Source organism: Homo sapiens, chromosome 11 (genome assembly GCF_000001405.40).
Source record: "Homo sapiens chromosome 11, GRCh38.p14 Primary Assembly".
NCBI lineage: Eukaryota > Metazoa > Chordata > Mammalia > Primates > Hominidae > Homo > Homo sapiens.
This window is the reverse complement of record NC_000011.10, coordinates 6890814-6910292: the sequence shown is the minus strand read 5'-3', so window position 1 is coordinate 6910292 and position 19479 is coordinate 6890814. Positions and strand designations below refer to the sequence as shown.

At 37.3% G+C, this 19479-nt stretch overlaps 1 protein-coding gene and 1 long non-coding RNA gene across 4 annotated transcripts in view; both read left to right on the top strand.

Moving 5' to 3' along the window:
- LOC107984019 (uncharacterized) overlaps nucleotides 1–12380 on the top strand; it is a 49559-nt gene extending 37179 nt beyond the window's left edge. For all 3 annotated transcript variants that reach the window (XR_001748111.2, XR_001748112.3, XR_007062575.1), the window contains exon 4: nucleotides 12065–12380. This is a non-coding gene — a long non-coding RNA (uncharacterized LOC107984019). The remainder of the gene's footprint in view (nucleotides 1–12064) is intronic.
- Nucleotides 12381–17792: 5412 nt separating this feature from the next.
- OR2D2 (olfactory receptor family 2 subfamily D member 2) lies at nucleotides 17793–18719 on the top strand. Its single transcript, NM_003700.1, has one exon. It carries the CDS (start codon nucleotides 17793–17795, stop codon nucleotides 18717–18719), a length of 927 nt encoding a protein of 308 aa, NP_003691.1.
- The last annotated feature ends 760 nt before the right edge of the window (nucleotides 18720–19479 follow it).

Genomic DNA, 19479 nt, shown 5'->3' with positions numbered 1-19479 from the left:
TATTGTGAATAGTGCCGCAATAAACATACGTGTGCATGTGTCTTTACAGCAGCATGATTTATAATCCTTTAGGTATATACCCAGTAATGAGATTGCTGGGTCAAATGGTATTTCTAGTTCAAGATCCCTGAGGAATCACCACACTGACTTCCACAATGGTTGAACTAGTTTACAGTCCCACCAACAGTGTAAAAGTGTTCCTGTTTCTCCACATCCTCTCCAGCACCTGTTGTTTCGTGACTTTTTAATGATCGCCATTCTAACTGGTGTGAGATGGTATCTCATTGTGGTTTTGATTTGCATTTCTTTGATGGCCAGTGATGATGAGCATTTTTTCATGTGTTTTTTGGCTGCATAAATGTCTTCTTTTGAGAAGTGTCTGTTCATATCCTTCGCCCACTTGTTGATGGGGTTGTTTGTTTTTTTCTTGTAAATTTGTTTGAGTTCATTGTAGATTCTGGATATTAGCCCTTTGTCAGATGAGTAGGTTGCGAAAATTTTCTCCCATTCTGTAGGTTGTCTGTTCACTCTGATGGTAGTTTCTTTTGCTGTGCAGAAGCTCTTTAGTTTAATTAGATCCCATTTGTCAATTTTGGCTTTTGCTGCCATTGCTTTGGTGTTTTAGACATGAAGTCCTTGCCCATGCCTATGTCCTGAATGGTAATGCCTAGGTTTTCTTCTAGGGTTTTTATGGTTTTAGGTCTAACGTTTAAGTCTTTAATCCATCTTGAATTAATCTTTGTGTAAGGTGTAAGGAAGGGATCCAGTTTCAGCTTTCTACATATGGCTAGCCAGTTTTCCCAGCACCATTTATTAAATAGGGAATCCTTTCCCCATTGCTTGTTTTTGTTGGGTTTGTCAAAGATCAGATAGTTGTAGATATGCAGCATTATTTCTGAGGGCTCTGTTCTGTTTCATTGGTCTATATGTCTGTTTTGGTACCAATATCATGCTGTTGTGGTTACTGTAGCCTTGTAGTATAGTTTGAAGTCAGGTAGCGTGATGCCTCTAGCTTTGTTCTTTTGGCTTAGGATTGACTTGGCAATGCAGGCTCTTTTGGTTCCATATGAACTTGAAAGTAGTTTTTTCCAATTCTGTGAAGAAAGTCATTGGTAGCTGATGGGGATGGCATTGAATCTATAAATTACCTTGGGCAGTATGGCCATTTTCACGATATTGATTCTTCCTACCCATGAGCATAGAATGTTCTTCCATTTGTTTGTATCCTCTTTTATTTCATTGAGCAGTGGTTTGTAGTTCTCCTTGAAGAGGTCCTTCACATCCCTTGTAAGTTGGATTCCTAGGTATTTTACTGTCTTTGAAGCAATTGTGAATGGGAGTTCACTCATGATTTGGTTCTCTGTTTGTCTGTTATTGGTGTATAAGAATGCTTGTGATTTTTGTACATTGATTTTGTATCCTGAGACTTTGCTGAAGTTGCTTATCAGCTTAAGGAGATTTTGGGCTGAGATGATGGGGTTTTCTAGATATACAATCATGTCATCTGCAAACAGGGACAATTTGACTTCCTCTTTTCCTAATTGAATGCCCTTTATTTCCTTCTCCTGCTTGATTTCCCTGGCTGGAACTTCCAACACTATCTTGAATAGGAATGTTGAGAGACGGCATCCCTGTCTTGTGCCAGTTTTCAAAGGGAATGCTTCCAGTTTTTGTCCATTCAGTATGATATTGGCTGTGGGTTTGTCATAGATAGCTCTTATTATTTTGAGATATGTCCCATCAATACCTAATTTATTGAGAGTTTTTAGTATGAAGGGTTGTTGAATTTTGTCAAAGGCCTTTTCTGCATCTATTGAGATAATCATGTGGTTTTTGTCTTTGGTTCTGTTTATGTGCTGGATTATGTTTATTGATTTTCATATGTCGAACCAGCCTTGCATCCGAGGGATGAAGCCCACTTGATCATGATGAATAAGCTTTTTGATATGCTGCTGGATTTGGTTTGCCAGTATTTTATTGAGGATTTTTGCATCAATGTTCATCAAGGATATTGGTCTAAAATTCTCTTTTTTTGTGTGTCTCTGCCAGGCTTTGGTATCAGGATGATGCTGGCCTCATAAAATGAGTTAGGGAGGATTCCCCCTTTTTCTATTGATTGGAATAGTTTCAGAAGGAATGGTACCAGCTCCTCCTTGTACCTCTGGTAGAATTCGGCTGTGAATCCATCTGGTCCTGGACTTTTTTTGGTTGGTAACCTATTAATTATTGCCTCAATTTCAGAGCCTGTTATTGGTCTATTCAGAGATTCAACTTCTTCCTGGTTTAGTCTTGGGAGGGTGTATGTGTCAAGGAATTTATCCATTTCTTCTAGATTTTCTAGTTTGTTTGCGTAGAGGTGTTTATAGTATTCTCTGATGGTAGTTTGTATTTCTGTGGGATCGGTGGTGATATTCCCTTTGTCATTTTTTATTGTGTCTATTTGATTCTTCTCTCTTTTCTTCTTTATTAGTCTTGCTAGCAGTCTATCAATTTTGTTGATCTTTTCACAAAACCAGCTCCTGGATTCATTGATTTTTTGAAGGGTTTTTTGTGTCTCTATTTCCTTCAGTTCTGCTCTGATCTTAGTTATTTCTTGCCTTCTGCTAGCTTTTGAATGTGTTTGCTCTTGCTCCTCTAGTTCTTTTAATTGTGATGTTAGGGTGTCAATTTTAGATCTTTCCTGCTTTCTCTTGTGGGCATTTAGTGCTGTAAATCCCTTTACACACTGCTTTGAATGTGTCCCAGAGATTTTGGTATGTTGCGTCTTTGTTCTCGTTGGTTTCAAAGAACATCTTTATTTCTGCCTTCATTTCGTTATGTACCCAGTAGTCATTCAGGAGCAGGTTGTTCAGTTCCCATGTAGTTGAGCAGTTTTGAGTGAGTTTCTTAATCCTGAGTTCTAGTTTGATTGCACTGTGGTCTGAGAGACGGTTTGTTATAATTTCTGTTCTTTTACATTTGCTGAGGAGTGCTTTACTTCCAACTATGTGGTCAATTTTGGAATAGGTGTGGTGTGGTGTTGAAAATAATGTATATTCTGTTGATTTGGGGTGGAGAGTTCTGTAGATGTCTATTAGGTCTGCTTGGTGCAGAGCTGAGTTCAATTCCTGGATATCGTTGTTAACTTTCTGTCTCGTTGATCTGTCTAATGTTGACAGTGGGGTGTTAAAGTCTCCCATTATTATTGTGTGGGAGTCTAAGTCTCTTTGTAGGTCACTAAGGACTTGCTTTAGGAATCTGGGTACTCCTGTATTGAGTGCATATATATTTAGGTTAGTTAGTTCTTCTTGTTGAATTGATCCCTTTACCATTGTGTAATGGCCTTGTCTCTTTTGATCTTTGTTGGTTTAAAGTCTGTTTTATCAGAGACTAGGATTGCAACCCCTGCCTTTTTTTGTTTTCCATTTGCTTGGTAGATCTTGATTCCTTTATTTTGAGCCTATGTGTGTCTCTGCACATGAGATGGGTTTCCTGAATACAGCACACTGATGGGTCTTGACTCTTTATCCAATTTGCCAGTCTGTGTCTTTTAATTGGAGCATTTAGCCCATTTACATGTAAAGTTAATATTGTTATATGTGAATTTGATCCTGTCATTATGATGTTAGCTGGTTATTTTGCTTGTTAGTTGATGCAGTTTCTTCCTAGCCTCGATGGTCTTTACAATTTGGCATGTTTTTGCAGTGGTTGGTACCGGTTGTTCCTTTCCATGTTTAGTGCTTCCTTCAGGAGCTCTTTTAGGGCAGGCCTGGTGGTGACAAAATCTCTCAGCATTTGCTTGTCTGTAAAGTATTTTATTTCTCCTTCACGTATGAAGCTTAGTTTGGCTGGATATGAAATTCTGGGTTGAAAATTCTTTTGTTTAAGAATGTTGAATATTGGCCCCCACTCTCTTCTGGCTTGTAGAGTTTCTGCCGAGAGATCAGCTGTTAGTCTGATGGGCTTCCCTTTGTGGGTAACCCGACCTTTCTCTCTGGCTGCCCTTAACATTTTTTCCTTCATTTCAATTTTGGTGAATCTGACAATTATGTGTCTTGGAGTTGCTCTTCTTGAGGAGTATCTTTGTGGCGTTCTCTGTATTTCCTGAATCTGAATGTTGGCCTGGCTTGCTAGATTGGGGAAGTTCTCCTGGATAATATCCTGCAGAGTGTTTTCCAACTTGGTTCCATTCTCCCCGTCGCTTTCAGGTACACCAATCAGATGTAGATTTGGTCTTTTCACATAGTCCCATATTTCTTGGAGGCTTTGTTCATTTCTTTCTGTTCTTTTTTCTCTAAACTTCTCTTCTCGCTTCATTTCATTCATTTCATCTTCCATCGCTGATACCCTTTCTTCCAGTTGATCGCATCGGCTACTGAGGCTTGTGCATTCGTCACGTAGTTCTCGTGCCTTGGATTTCAGTTCCATCAGGTCCTTTAAGGACTTCTCTGCATTGGTTATTCTAGTTATCCATTCGTCTAATTTTTTTTCAAGGTTTTTAACTTCTTTGCCATTGGTTCGAACTTCCTCCTTTAGCTCATAGTAGTTTGATCTTCTGAAGGCTTCTTCCCTCAACTGATCAAAGTCATTGTCTGTCCAGCTTTGTTCTGTTGCTTGTGAGGAGCTGTGTTCCTTTGGAGGAGGAGAGGCACTCTGATTGTTAGAGTTTCCGGTTTTTCTGCTCTGTTTTTTCCCCATCTTTGTCGTTTTATCTACCTTTGGTCTTTGATGATGGTGACGTACAGATGGGTTTTTGGTGTGGATGTCCTTTCTGTTTGTTAGTTTTCCTTCTAACAGACAGGACCCTCAGCTGCAGGTCTGTTGGAGTTTGCTGGAGGTCCACTCCAGACCCTGTTTGCCTGGATATCAGCAGCGGTGGCTGCATAACAGCGGATATTGGTGAACCGCAAATGCTGCTGCTTGATCGTTCCTCTGGAAGTTTTGTCTCAGAGGAGTACCCAGCCATGTGAGGTGTCAGTCCGCCCCTACTTGGGGGTGCCTCCCAGTTAGGCTACTTGGGGATCAGGGACCCACTTGAGGAGGCAGTCTGCCCGTTGTCAGATCTCAAGCTGTGTGCTGGGAGAACCACTACTCTCTTCAAAGCTATCAGACAGCGACATTTAAGTCTGCAGAGGTTACTGCTGCCTTTTGTTTGTCTGTGCCCTGCCCCCAGAGGTGGAGCCTACAGAGGCAGGCAGGCCTCATTGAGCTGTGGTGGGCTCCACCCAGTTCGAGGTTCCCTGCCACTTTGTTTACCTATTCAAGCCTCGAGAATGGCGGGCGCCCCTCCTGCAGCCTCGCTGCCGCCTTGCAGTTTGATCTCAGACTGCTGTGCTAGCAATGAGCGAGGCTCCGTGGGCGTAGGACCCTTCGATCCAGGTGCAGAATATAATCTCCTCATGTGCCATTTGTTAAGCCTGTTGGGAAAGCGCAGTATTAGGGTGGGAGTGACCCGATTTTCCAGGTGCCATCTGTCACCCCTTTCTTTGACTAGGAAAGGGAATTCCCTGACCTCTTGCGCTTCCCGGGTGAGGCGATGCCTCGCCCTGCTTCCGCTCATGCACGGTGCGCTGCACCCACTGTCCTGCACCCACTGTCTGGCACTCCCCAGTGAGATGAACCTGGTACCTCAGTTGGAAATGCAGAAATCACCATCTTCTGCATCGCTCACGCTGGAAGCTGTAGACTGGAGCTGTTCCTATTCGGCCATCTTGGCTCCACCCTCCAAATGTGTTCTTATAATAAAGTTGCATGCTTTTACTGGACATAAAGTTAGAGCTTTTCTTTTGAGGGGATAATTCACATCAAAGTACAGTTTTGTAGAATGAGACTTCAGTTTGTTAAACCATTAAATCAAGAACTTGCTTTGACCTCATCAAAATGGAATTATTCCTATAATTCTCTCTAGCTAATAACATTCAAAACAAAGGCAAATTTTATATCTAAATATTACATCCATATCCTCTAACGCAGGGGTCCCCAGTCCATGGGGCATGGACTGGTACCAATTCCTGGCCTGTTAGGAACTGGGCTGCACAGCAGGAGTTGAGCAAGCAAAGCTTCATCTGTATTCACAGCTATTCCCCATCGCTCACATAACCACCTGAGCTCGGGCTCTTGTCAGATCAACGGCGGCATTAGATTCTTATAGAAGCATGAGTCCTATTGTGAACTGCACATGTGAGGGATCTAGGCTGCATGCTTCTTATGAGAATCTAATGCCTAATGCTCTGTCACTGTCTCCCATAACCCCCAGATAGGACTGTCTAGTTGCAGGAAAACAACCTCAGGGCTCCCACTGATTTTACATTATGGTGAGTTGTATAATTAATTATATCTTACAACATAATAATAATATAAAGTACACAACAAATATAACGCACTTGAGTCATCCTGAAACCATTCTCACCAGTTCATTGTAGAAAAATTGCCTTTCACAAAACCAGTCCCTGGTGCCAAAAAGGTTGGGGACTGCTGCTCTAAAGGCCAAAAGATGTAAGAGAAAAATGGTGGAAGACCTGAGTTAGATGGTAGTATAGCCATGTGAGGTTCAAAAAAATGGTCTGAAGTCAATCTCTCAATCATATTTCAAATGGCAATTTAGTTTCAGCAAAACATCACTCATCACATTAAGTAGATGTTATTAATTTGAATCTTCTTGTTTTATTGGTTTTGTAACTTGGCTCATACATTATTTGCAGCTTATTTTTGGTTTCATAGCACATATAAACCTAACTCATTAAAATAATTGAGCTATAGTCCATAATATTACCCAAGTGTCTATTAATCCATATTAGTGGACACTTGTGTTATGATGTGGTCTGGCTGTTTTGTCCCCTCCAAATCACATGTTGAAATGTAATCCCCAATATTGGAGATGGGGCCTGATGGGAGATGTTTGAGTCATGGAGGCTGATTCCTCATGAATAGCTTGGTGCCCTCCTCCGCATAATGAGTGAGTTCTCACTCTGAGTTGACGTTGCCTCCCCACTCTCTCTTGCTCCTTATCTCCCTTTATGACATGCTTCCTCCCTCTTCTGCCTTGAGTGGAAGCTTTTTGAGGCCCTCACCAGGAGCAGATAGATGATGGTGCCATGCTTCCTGTACATCCTGCAGAACCGTGAGCCAAAACAAATTTATTTTCTTTATAAATTACCCAGCCTCAGGTGTTCTTTTATAGCAATGTAAATGGACTAACAAAGGTTATTTTTAATCTTTAGACATTAAAACAGTGCCACAGTGAACGTCTTTAAATATGCATGCTTGTGCCCTTGTCAGACATACATGAAGGAAAAGTTTCTTGAGGCTTAATTTCTGGGTCTAAAGATATATTTCTTTTAAATATCAATAGATTGCCAACTTCCCTATTAAAAGGTTGCATTAATTTACACTCCCATCAAAGACAGGTTCTATTTAGTTATATCTTTACTAACATTTGATATTTTCAAACTCTTTAATTTCACTAGTCTTTTATGTAAAAATGGCATCTCATTGTTATATTATGTGATACTTTATACTTGAGGATGCGTATAATATTCTATGTTTGCTGGTCATTTTCATTTCTGTTTTCTGTGAAGTGACTGGTTATTTTCTTTGTTCATTTTTTTTAAATTGGGCTGTTCAACTTTCCTTTAGTGCTTTGAAAAATCCTTGAATAACATGAAAAAAAAATAGCTCTTTGATTTTACCTTGGAAATAAGTTGTTTTGTATTTTTCCAGTTGACTTTCTGTATTTTTGCATCACATGTATATTTTATAATTTAATCTAAGCAAATCAAGAAGTCTTTACCCTTATGATTTTTTGTTAATATTTGAAAGGCTTCTGTTTTTAAAAGTTATGCTGTTTAAAAACCACCCATTTTTTTCTTCTAAGATTTTCCTAGGTTACTTACATATATGGCTTCATTTACCTCTTTATGCATCTAAAATTTGTTTTGATGTAATGAGTAAGATAGAAATCCACCTTAGATGTTTTCCTAAAATGCTCTGTTAGTACCACTTATGGGAAAATGTCTCAGTGATTTTAAATGTGTTTTATACAAGATACTAAACTTCTGCTGGATTCAGTCTATTTTTGTTTCCTGTAATCTGTTCCTTTTCTGACTTTATATTTCCATACAAATATCATGCAATCTTAATTTCTCTTCATTACTCTTGTTGTTGTTGTTTGTTTGTTTGATTATCAGATGCAGAGGAATGAGTGAATAATAATACCTCAGTATATGACACATTGCTGTGCATTCAAAGTCATTTCAAAGCCCCTCTCTTGTTATTTATTTATTTACTGTTTTTTTTTTTTTGCTTAATTTACACCCAAACTTGATTCCTACTGATCCTGTAACCATTCTAAGGTATGCAATACTTTTATTTTGTTTTTGAAAAATGACATTTTTGCGCCTGTATTCTTAATTTACATAAATGATATTTTGCTATATGCCTCTTTGTTTCTCACTTTTCCATCCACCTCTGTCTTTAAGATCATTCAAGTTGCACGTGTGTATCTAATCTCTTTCTAACTGCTGTGGGATCTTCTTTGGTATACATCTGTCACACTTTCATTCATCTTCTCTCCCGGTGAGTAAAGTAATATCCAAATTACACAACACCTCACCAACACAAACAACAGACCAACAAACATTTCAGGAGTGTACCATATATGTCTGCAACACAAATTTTTTGGCTCTATCTTTAACAATAGTGACTGTAACAGAATAAGCAAGTATAAGGTGACCAAGTAATTGCCAGATTCCTTTCCAGGGTGGCTACATTTCTCTACATCTTTCCCAACTGTAAATGAGTGTTATATTCTACTTTTTTGTCAACACTTTACAGTATCTGACTTCTGAATATCTGCATGCCTATTAGATATATCTTTGTTGCTCTAATTTGCATACCTTTGATTATTGATGAATTTGAGTATTGCTTTATATTCTTGTAGCCCAATGAAGTTACTTTTTAATAAATTCCCTTTTTATTACCTCTGCTCTTTTTTTCTTTTGGAGGTTTCTTCCTCTTTTATTGGTTTTTAGAAGTTTATTGTAAATTCCTGGTATTAGATTTTTATTTCTTTTTGGTTTTAAAGAGTGCAAATATCTTATCGATTCTCTCATCTGCCTTTTAGTTTTGTCTATGATGTCCTTCATTGAAGACAAATATCAGATTTTTATGAAATCACATTATCAAAATTATTATTATGGTTTGTGCTTTAGAAGCTTCTCACTCTAGGTCAGAAAGATGTTCTATGTTTTATTCAATTGTGTCATTGTTCTCTTGCAACTTTTAGATATTTAATTCATTTACAGTTTACCTTCTTCTATCATGTTAGGTAGGAGTCCAGCTTTATTTTTCTCTATGTAGTAAACCCACTTTACTAACATTATTTAATAAACTATTTTCCCTTCCGTGATGATTTTTGGACTGAACTTCATTGTATATTCGATTTCCACATGGGTCAATCTATGAGGTCTTCATTCTCTTCTATTTGTTTATTAGTCTTTTATTTTTTGCAACAGTGCCACCTGGCTTTGTTTACTAAAACATCACTGTGTGAGATTCATCTATATGGTTATTTGTAGCAGTAGTTCATTTATTTTAAATTATTTGATAGTATTCCACTGCATGACTGTACCAAAATTTATCTTTTCTATTGCCCATATAAATTTATAGTTTCCAGTGTGAGGTAGTATGAATAAAGCTGTTATAAACATCTTTATATACATTCTTGGTGGATGTAAACACTCATCTCTGTTAGGTATATGCTCAGGAGTGGAATTACTGAGTCATAGGGAAGGCATGTTTAGCTCTGTATTCAAAGATACTTCCAAATGGAATTTTAAAATTGACTCTAAGAATTTATGCTCCCATAAGCAATGTAAATTGCTCAGTCATTTTATCCTTTTTGATGAGGATTAGTGGAATTTCACTATGGTTTTTGTTTATATGCCCTGAGGGCTAATTATGTTGCACACCTTTTCATGTGCTTATTAGTTATTTTTATCTCCTATATTGAAAGTGCTTGTTCAAGTCTTCTGCCCATTTTAAAAAACTGGAAATTTCCAACTTTTCTTATTCATTTTTAGTAGTTCATTATATTCTGGGGATCACACCTATAGCTTACTATCAAGTTCTTAAAATGATATGTTTGTAAATACAGACAAATGATAAAAATGTGACAAAATAATAATTGGAGAATAGGAGTAAGAGAGGTATGGGAGTTTTGTACAATTTTAACTTTTTTGAAAATTTGAAATTATTTTTAAATACAAAATTATAAAATAACAAAAGTTTACCAAATATAAAATTTACACATGTATTTTGATGAACTTCCCTTTGTAACTTTGAAAACAAACTGACAGAAAAATCAGTAAAGATATGAAGATTTTTAACCATCCATTGACAAACTTGACCTGATAGAATATCCTATTCAATCATGTTTTGTGAGAGCTGGTCCATGTTCAGTTGGCTTTTTGTCTTAGGATAGTCATTCAGGAGTTGCAACTGAAAGAGTGGGGTTTCTGCCAGAGGCTCTCTTCTTTTCAGACCCTCATCTCCACTCCCTCCACTCATGCCCAACACGGCTTCAGATACTCTTTGGAGGAATTTTAAAAAGCTAATCAGAGTACTTGAAGGTTTTTCAGCCTCTCTTCTTTCTGGGCAATTTAGGATTCATTTCTGTATAATACATTTCCTGAACAATGCCAAAACTCAGATACCTATTTATAATCTCAATCCGGTAGCCCTAGTTATAATAATCAGAGAGAGTATTTATTGACTTCTTACTACATGAATACATTATGTTAATCACATTCATCTAATTATTATTATCTAGGTCACATCACATTCATAATCTACAAATGATGAACTTTCTCAAAATTATACGGTGTATGGAGTAGACTTAAGTTGCAACCTAGTATTTTTTCCTTCAGAAACCAAATACTTAATTGCAACAATACAATGCTTCTCCAAAGAGAAGACATGTAAGAATTCATGATGGGACCTGTAAACAGAGATGTGACTGCTAACTGCATGTTATTTTCTGCCCTCCTTATAACCATTTGGGAACCTTCTGAGAGGAAGCACAGCTCAAGATCCCCCCTAATGATTCAGAATTCACCTGAGCACTTCACCTGCTCCAGAGACTGCTTCTAGTATCCCTGCTGTTCACCTCATTTAAATTGAACTATTGTTGCACAATATACTGTGAAGTCCATGATAAGACCTTTGGCTGGAGCAGAAGGACATGGGAGTTGTGGGGATTCCCCTTCCTGCTTTGTTCTTGACTTTGGAGATTCTACTGAGCCCTTTGCTTTTATGAAAATATCCCTGCTGTCCGTGTTCTGCCCATGCTGCCTCCAGTGCACCTGAAGCACTTTCCCATCAATAGTGGAGTGTCTTTATTGGCTTTCCATGCCAATTTGATCTTTCTCCATCATAGGACAAAATATTGGTAAGATTATTAGAGGGTGGGGGAAGATAAAGCATGAGATGAACAAAGAAGGGATAACTGATATATTGGGAGTGAATTGGTTTTAACATTGTCATAGATTTGGTTTTTAAAATTCAACTAATTTTGTCCAAATAATCTGATTCATAGAGCTAAATCTTCTGTAATAGATTTAGCCAAGGTTTTATTCCACAGTGGATCTACCTTATCAAACCACAATTACAATGCAAAATTACCTGAGAAGAAGAATCCTGACACTCACCTTATGTAGATATAGGCAGAATTTTCATGGAGTCAGTATTGTTCCTTTGGGTAGTGTTTTCTTGCCTTGTTGAACTTGATTTGGAAGAAAGTAAATAGGTATGGATGATAAGGAATAGAGGATTTTAAGTGTGAAGGATCTTGGAATCAGAAGAGAAATTTAGTAGTTTTCTCTTGGTGCCTTAGGGGTTTACTCAGTCTCTTCTTCCTAAAATTCACATCAGGTTAGATAATGCATGTTTCTGTGACCCTGTCTTCCTTTTCCATATCCAGTGACATATTTTATTTTTATAGAAATGAACTCACAAATGTATGTTAAATCTAGAAAAAAAGTAAAATGAAATGGCAGAAAGGTTGACAGTGAACATGATTTTCTTATAGGAGCTTCTTGACCCTGGGAGCAGATTCAATGTCACCTGGAGGAACATTTCGTCCTCTACATTTGCATGGGAGAATAACATTTTTAAAGAAAAATCAGGAGAGATTGGCGTGCTGCCTTCTAGTGCATAATCCCAGGGTCAGTGAGAACTCCTAGCATCTGACAAGTCATAAATCACACTCATCTCTTCCTTACATTCCCCTCTCTGTCTCTTGCTACTTTGGCTCAGGTCAAATCAGTTCAAGAAACATGTGTTGGACACTTATAATGTATGATGACTGCTCTTATTTTCTGTGAATAAAGATGATTCAGATGTGATCTCTACCCTTGACTATCTTACAGTCACAGAGAAAGACAAATAATTTTAATATAATTTGTTAAGAGCTGTGATGGAGGTAAGTACAAGATGCTGTAGGTATACTTGTGCATCTAAGATAGATTAGTTGTTTGTGAGTGTGTGTATTGGTGTGTGTATGTCCGTGTGTATTGGAGGTAGGAATAGGGAAAGTTTGTGGGATTGTTTCTGGAGTATATTTTTCCTAGACAGAATCTTAAAAAATTCGTCTGGCTATGGTTATGAGCCAGATGAAGAAGGGATAGAAATCATAGCAATATCCTGTAACTTCACTTTCATTAAATTAACCACTGATTGTAGTCATCACTTTAAATTTTGTGAAGAATGCTTAGTTTTATGCTCAATATCTTCTTTTGTCAAAACTGAGAAAGATTGTTTGTCTATCATTTAATTTTCCTTGAGATTTAGATACATTATTGATACAGTTGTAATCAAATTCTAAAAAAAAAAAAAAATTCTACTCTAAGAAGAGTGAAAATTGTGGCAGAAAGAGTACTGAGTCTAAAGATCCTGAGCTGAACCAAATCCCGGAGCCTCTAAGAACTAACCAGGTAGCACCTTCCACCAGATGGACGGCAATTCAAAATGTAGCAATGTTTAAATTACCTGTATTCTCGAAATTTATTTTTATATCAGCTGTTTTGATAATACACTATTTTTCTCTTTAGAAGCAATTCTCTATTAGTTTGATGTGATAGATTATATAGATTCCTTAAACCAATATTGGCTGTGAATCTATGATATTCCAAGGACCACTGTAGGCACTGGGGATGAAACAATTTGGCCCCTCCCCTCTGGAGTTCTTTAGTGTTAGGAACTGGGTTTTCAGTCTGTATCCCCAGTCTTTAGCATATGCTTGGTACACAGTATTTGCTCAAAAAATAAGATTGATTGAATATTCAAAGTATGATGGGTGCCCAAGGAAAGTAATGATACCTTGATTTAGTGGGCATGTCTTTGAGTAGAGGGACTATGCGGAGCAAAAAACAGTGGGGTGTAAAAATGCAGTGTGTTCTAGTTAGTTGGTATGGGATAAGGCTGGTAAGGTTGCCTGCAGATGGATACGGGAGGGTGGAATTTATCTATATTCAGTGTGGGGCCGTAAGTAATCATCAAGCAGAGATGTAATTATTCATAATTATGTTTTATTTATCAGTTATTGAATGAGTTGATTTCCCTTGAAATAAAGGTAGGCACTTCTATAACTGCTAGGCACTACAGTTTTTAGATATTGGCAGCATCTATCAAAAGTAAAGATATGCCTACCCTTATATATTCCATCTTGGATAAAGCTCGTACCTAGCAATTCGAATGTTTGTAGTTTACCTTAACAGATATATTGGTAACAGTGAAAAACAATATATGTATAGGAATGTTCATAACATAATTGTTTGTGGTAGCATAAATTGGCCCCAATATTAATGTTCATCAATAAGAGAATAGTTAACTAAGTTTTGGTTTAACTGTAGTTTAACTGTAGTTAAACTGTAGTGTGGAATATAATGAAATCAATAGCAAGACATAGGTATAGCTATATATATTGGTCAAGAAGTGTCTCCAAGATAATAGCGATTGTTGGGAAAATTAAGTCATTAAATCATATGTTAACTACAAAAGTGTGCATACTCATGTACATACACATATGCATTTGTGTTTGTGTGTTGTGTGTGTGTATTAATTTGAATTAATAGACATCTGGAAAGATGTATACCAACCTGTGATCTATGGTTACTAATGGAAAGGGTATTGGGCTTGAGGGTGTTTGGAAAGAGACTTACTATTACCATACATTTGGGCGATGCATGTTGGACACACCACACAACTTACCATTTAAAGTGTATAATTCAATGGCTTTTAGAATATTCACAAAGTTATGCAACCATCACCACAATCAATTTTAGAAGTTTTTCGTTACTCCAAAAAGAAACCATACATTCCTTAGTCATCATCATCCAGTCCTCCTATAACCCCAGCCCTAGGCAACAACCAATCTACTTTCTTTCTCTATAGATTTGCCTGTTCTTGACATTTAATATAAATGAAATCATGCAATATGTCATCCTTTGTGACTACTTTTTTCACTTAATATAATGTTTTTAAGGTTTATTCATGTTGTACCATGTTCAATCCTTTATATGGATATATCACCGTTTTGTTTGTTTGTTTGTTTGTTTGTTTGTTTTTGAGGTGGGGTCTCTCTCTCTCACATGGACTGAAGTGCAGTGGAGTGATCTCAGCTCACTGCAACCTCTGCCTACCCTGTTCAAATGATTCTTCTGCCTCAGCCTCCCAACTATTTGGGACTATAGGCATGTGCCATGATGCCCAGCTAATTTTTGTATTTTTAGTAGAGACGGGGTTTCACCACATTGGCCAGGCTGGCCTCGAACTCCTGACCTTAAGTGATACACCTGCCTTAGTCTCTCAATGTACTGGGATTACAGGCGTGAGCCACCACACCCAGCTGATATATCACCTTTTCTTTATATATTCAAAGACATTTCACTTTTTGTCTTTGGATCACTGCACTTTTTGAGTATTATGAATAATGTTGCCATAAACATTCATGTATAAGTTTTTGTGTGCAACATATGCTTTCAGTTCTCTTGGGTATATACCTACTGGTGGGATGGCTGATTCATATGGTAACCTGCTAGCCATCCTAGTAGGTGTAAAGTTGTATGCTATTGTGGTTTTGGTTTGCATTTCCTTTATGGCTAATGACATTCAACATATTTTCATGTGCCTACTGGCCATTTGCATACCTCTTCTGGAAACAATGTCTATTTAGATTCTTTGCCCAGTTATTAATTATATTATTGGCCTTTTTATTACCAGGTTATGTTTCTTATATATTCTAAATATAAGTCCCTTATCAGATACAGAATTTGCAAAAATTTTCTCCCACTCTGTGGGTTGTCTTTTCACTTCCTTAATGGTGTCTTTTGAAGCACAAACATTTTTAATTTTGATGATGTCCAATTTATTAATTTTTTTCTTTTGTTCTGAAAAATATATATTTGATGTATATTTAAAATACAATTAAGCAAACAAAATGTTAAAATTAAGTAACTTATCTTCAAAACTGAGGAGGAATATAGAGTTCCTTTTAAGGATTAGGTAAGAGGCTTTTATCCTTTCAAAGATTTTAGAGTTTGGTGGCACTGGTTTTTATTTTACCATTGAATCAACATCCACACCTCCATTTACCTGATATAATGGTAATATTGTGTAACCATTACATTTATATGATTTGATATGAGACTGTTTTTGTTTTGACAGATTTTCCTAGATGTGTAAAAGAGGAGAATAACATAAAGAATAATCTGTATTTTGAGTTAAAAAAGAACCTTTTAAGTAATTAATCTGTACATTGTAAAGTAAAACAGTAAGGTGAAATTGTTTTCAGGCTTCTTCCTCTGGTGGTTAAAATAAAAGTGGAGAAGAGAAAAGAAATTAGGTCAAACTTTTCCCAGATTGGTTGTTAGTGGTAACTTTGGCCCAGGACAGCTACATTCCTGTCTGGAGAAAAGATGTTGCAGGAGAAATCCCAGGAAGTGAGGAAAGGAGTGTAGAGTCCATGGCTTACCAGTAGTGGGCAAAGGTGGAAGGGTTATAAATTGGATTTTGTCATACAGGTGATGCATGTTGGACTGAGCTGTTTGCTTAAGGCCTTCTGCCTGCAAAGTGAGCAGGGAGCAATGCTAAAAATCTAAAGCACCAAACAGTTAAGTAGAAGTGCAAAGGGACCTTCCTCCCAATGCCAAATTCCAACTTTAGTCTGAAGACCAATTAGGAATTGAAATCTTTCATTTCTTTGACTCACAGACCAATCCAGATGCTGAGACTCTGTTACTAGATTATGTAGGGTGTAATTATGTCTTTTTTTTTTTTTTAAGAAATCTCCTGGGGATTCCTGTAACCCAAGTGAGTTCTGCAACTTGGAGTAAAATGTTACTTCTTTATTTTTATTTTCCCCTAACTGAAAGTTGATGTTTCCTTCCAATTTGAATGCAAGTAACCAACCCACACCAATATTAGAAGTATTTATGACTTTGTCAGCAGTAGTAATTATAAGAATTTTTATATTGTATTGCAGTTGTTGGAGAGATCTCCAAATATTTAAACTCATCATTATTTTGAAATGAAGATGGTTATTAGACCCACCACTACATTTCAAAATTTTAGTGTATTAATAAAGAAGCACATATATTGCTGTTTACAAATCTGTTTTCTAAAATTATTTCGATAACTGTATTTTGATATAACTGGTTTCCTTAGTAATCCTATACATTTTATTTGATGTATTTAAAACGTTATTCTGAGATACTTTCACCAGACAGTTAAAGGATTGATAGCCCAACCCGTGTATAGGATCTTAAACTTTACACTTTAAAGTAAATTTATTTCCCTTCTTTTTGGAACAGCTCCACAAAATTGGATTATTATTTCAAATCTCTCTAGGGATATTGGCAAAACTTCTAAATGACTCTGCTTAACTATGTGATCAAATTATTATTTGTTTAATGAATTATGGTCATTTATGAAATGAAGTTCTCTGCTATGACTCGTAAAGGACACAGAGGTGAAAAAGACATGGAAACTATTTTCAAAGGAACTTTTACTTTTGCGGGGGGAGTGGACAGATAATGCATATAATTTTTAGCAGAGAGAGCTGGGGAGTAGTGCTGTTTGGGCTGAGTATGAAACTAGTCACGCTGGTGGCTTAAAATGAAAATTCTGTTTTGATGGTGTGTCTGTTATGTTGGAAGTTCATTCACAGTTGAGACTGAACAGAACTCAAGCTGAGGCTTCAGATAGGATTCCCAAGGGTATCCTGAGTTAATCTTTGGTTTCCCAGCTCCTGTAAGACAGGTTAGTTTCTTAAATAAAACATACCAGTACTTTGGCTCTTTCTGATTTCTTATACCTTCGTGTCTGTCCTTTCACGGAAAATACAACAGAAAACTATATTATCATAAGCGGGGAAGAGGAGATGTGACAAGAGCACTTACGACTCAGGGGTTTTAGTTAAGAACAAACAGAAATTAAATGGCAGGACTTTATAGATGAACTCAGTCTGTATTTAATATTGTATTATTAAAAGTGTGGTATTCAGAGTGAGAAAAATAATTTTAAAAATCTATTCTTGCCAGATGACATCAACAATGAATGCAACATCTTTTAAAGTTTGTTTTACAACACTGAAAATGTTCCAATGAAAGAAACATGATCATCTTATGAAGGGGGTTCTTGAAATTTTCAGTAGAAATTGGGGCAGTTCCTAAGCCTGCACTTCTGAATTATATAATTTTATAGGTATGCCTGTCTATGGTTAGCACATAGTGACTTCTTACTGAAAAGGACAACAAACTATGAGACAGATAAATCAGACACAAGTGACAGAATTCCTCCTTCTGGGACTCTCTGATGGGCCACACACCGAGCAGCTGCTATTTATCGTATTATTGGGTGTCTACCTGGTCACTGTGCTTGGAAATCTGCTTCTAATCTCCCTTGTTCATGTTGACTCCCAACTTCACACACCCATGTATTTTTTTCTCTGCAACTTGTCTCTGGCTGACCTCTGTTTCTCTACCAACATAGTTCCTCAGGCACTAGTCCACCTGCTTTCCAGAAAGAAGGTCATTGCATTCACACTTTGCGCAGCTCGACTTCTCTTTTTCCTCATTTTTGGGTGTACCCAGTGCGCCCTTCTTGCAGTGATGTCCTATGATCGCTATGTTGCAATCTGCAATCCTCTGCGTTACCCTAACATCATGACCTGGAAAGTGTGTGTCCAGCTGGCAACAGGATCATGGACCAGTGGCATTCTGGTGTCTGTGGTAGACACCACCTTCATACTGAGGCTACCCTACCGAGGCAGTAACAGCATTGCTCATTTCTTTTGTGAGGCCCCTGCACTATTGATCTTAGCATCCACAGACACCCATGCATCAGAGATGGCCATTTTTCTTATGGGGGTTGTGATTCTCCTCATACCTGTTTTTCTGATTCTGGTATCCTATGGCCGTATCATAGTAACTGTGGTCAAGATGAAGTCAACTGTGGGGAGTCTCAAGGCATTTTCTACCTGTGGCTCCCACCTCATGGTGGTCATACTTTTTTATGGATCAGCAATTATCACTTACATGACACCCAAGTCTTCCAAACAGCAGGAAAAATCGGTGTCTGTTTTCTATGCAATAGTGACTCCCATGCTTAATCCCCTCATCTATAGCCTGAGAAACAAGGATGTGAAGGCAGCTCTGAGGAAAGTAGCCACAAGGAATTTCCCATGAAGGCTTGGAATCTCACACTGACAGTGAGCTCAGAGAACCTTTTGGCTTCCTACTTCAAAGACTTGCTGGGAAGACATGGAATCAACCCAGGTGGATTGGATTTTTAAAAATGTACATTGGCACACTTGGTTTCTCAAGTCACCTGCTTGGCCCCCTTCCAAGTTGTACTTTCCTTCTTTTTCCTCCTTTCCTTTTCCTTCCTTACTGTTCTAAAGCTTTTTAATAAACTTTCTCCTGCTTTGAAAACAAAAGTACATATACACCATGGAATACTATGCAGCCACAGAATAGAATGAAATCATGTCATTCGCAGAAACATAGATGCAGCTTGAAACCATTATCCTAAGTGAACTAGCACAAAAACAGAAAACCAAATACTTCATGTTGTCACTCATAAGTAGGAACTAAACATTGGGTACATATGAAGACAAAGGTGGGAACAATAGACATTGGGGACTACTAGATTATGGGAGGGAGGGGGAAGGGTTAAAAAAACTACCTATTACCTACTCACTACCTGGGTGATGGATTCATTTGTACTCCGTATCTCAGCATCACATGATATACCTCTGTAACAAACCTGCGTGTGTACCCTCGATTTTAAAATAAAAGTTGAAAAGAAGAAAAAATGCACATTAGATTTCAAATTTTCACACCTATATGAAAATAGAATTTAAATCATGTCATTAGTAATTTTATATGGATGGCATGACAATAAAATAATATTTTAATATATTGGATAAAATAAACTTATATTATT

What these genes read in the sequence shown, in the direction of transcription:
- OR2D2 (NM_003700.1), top strand. Translation starts at nt 17,793, where the DNA reads ATGAGACAGATAAATCAGACACAAGTGACAGAATTCCTCCTTCTGGGA.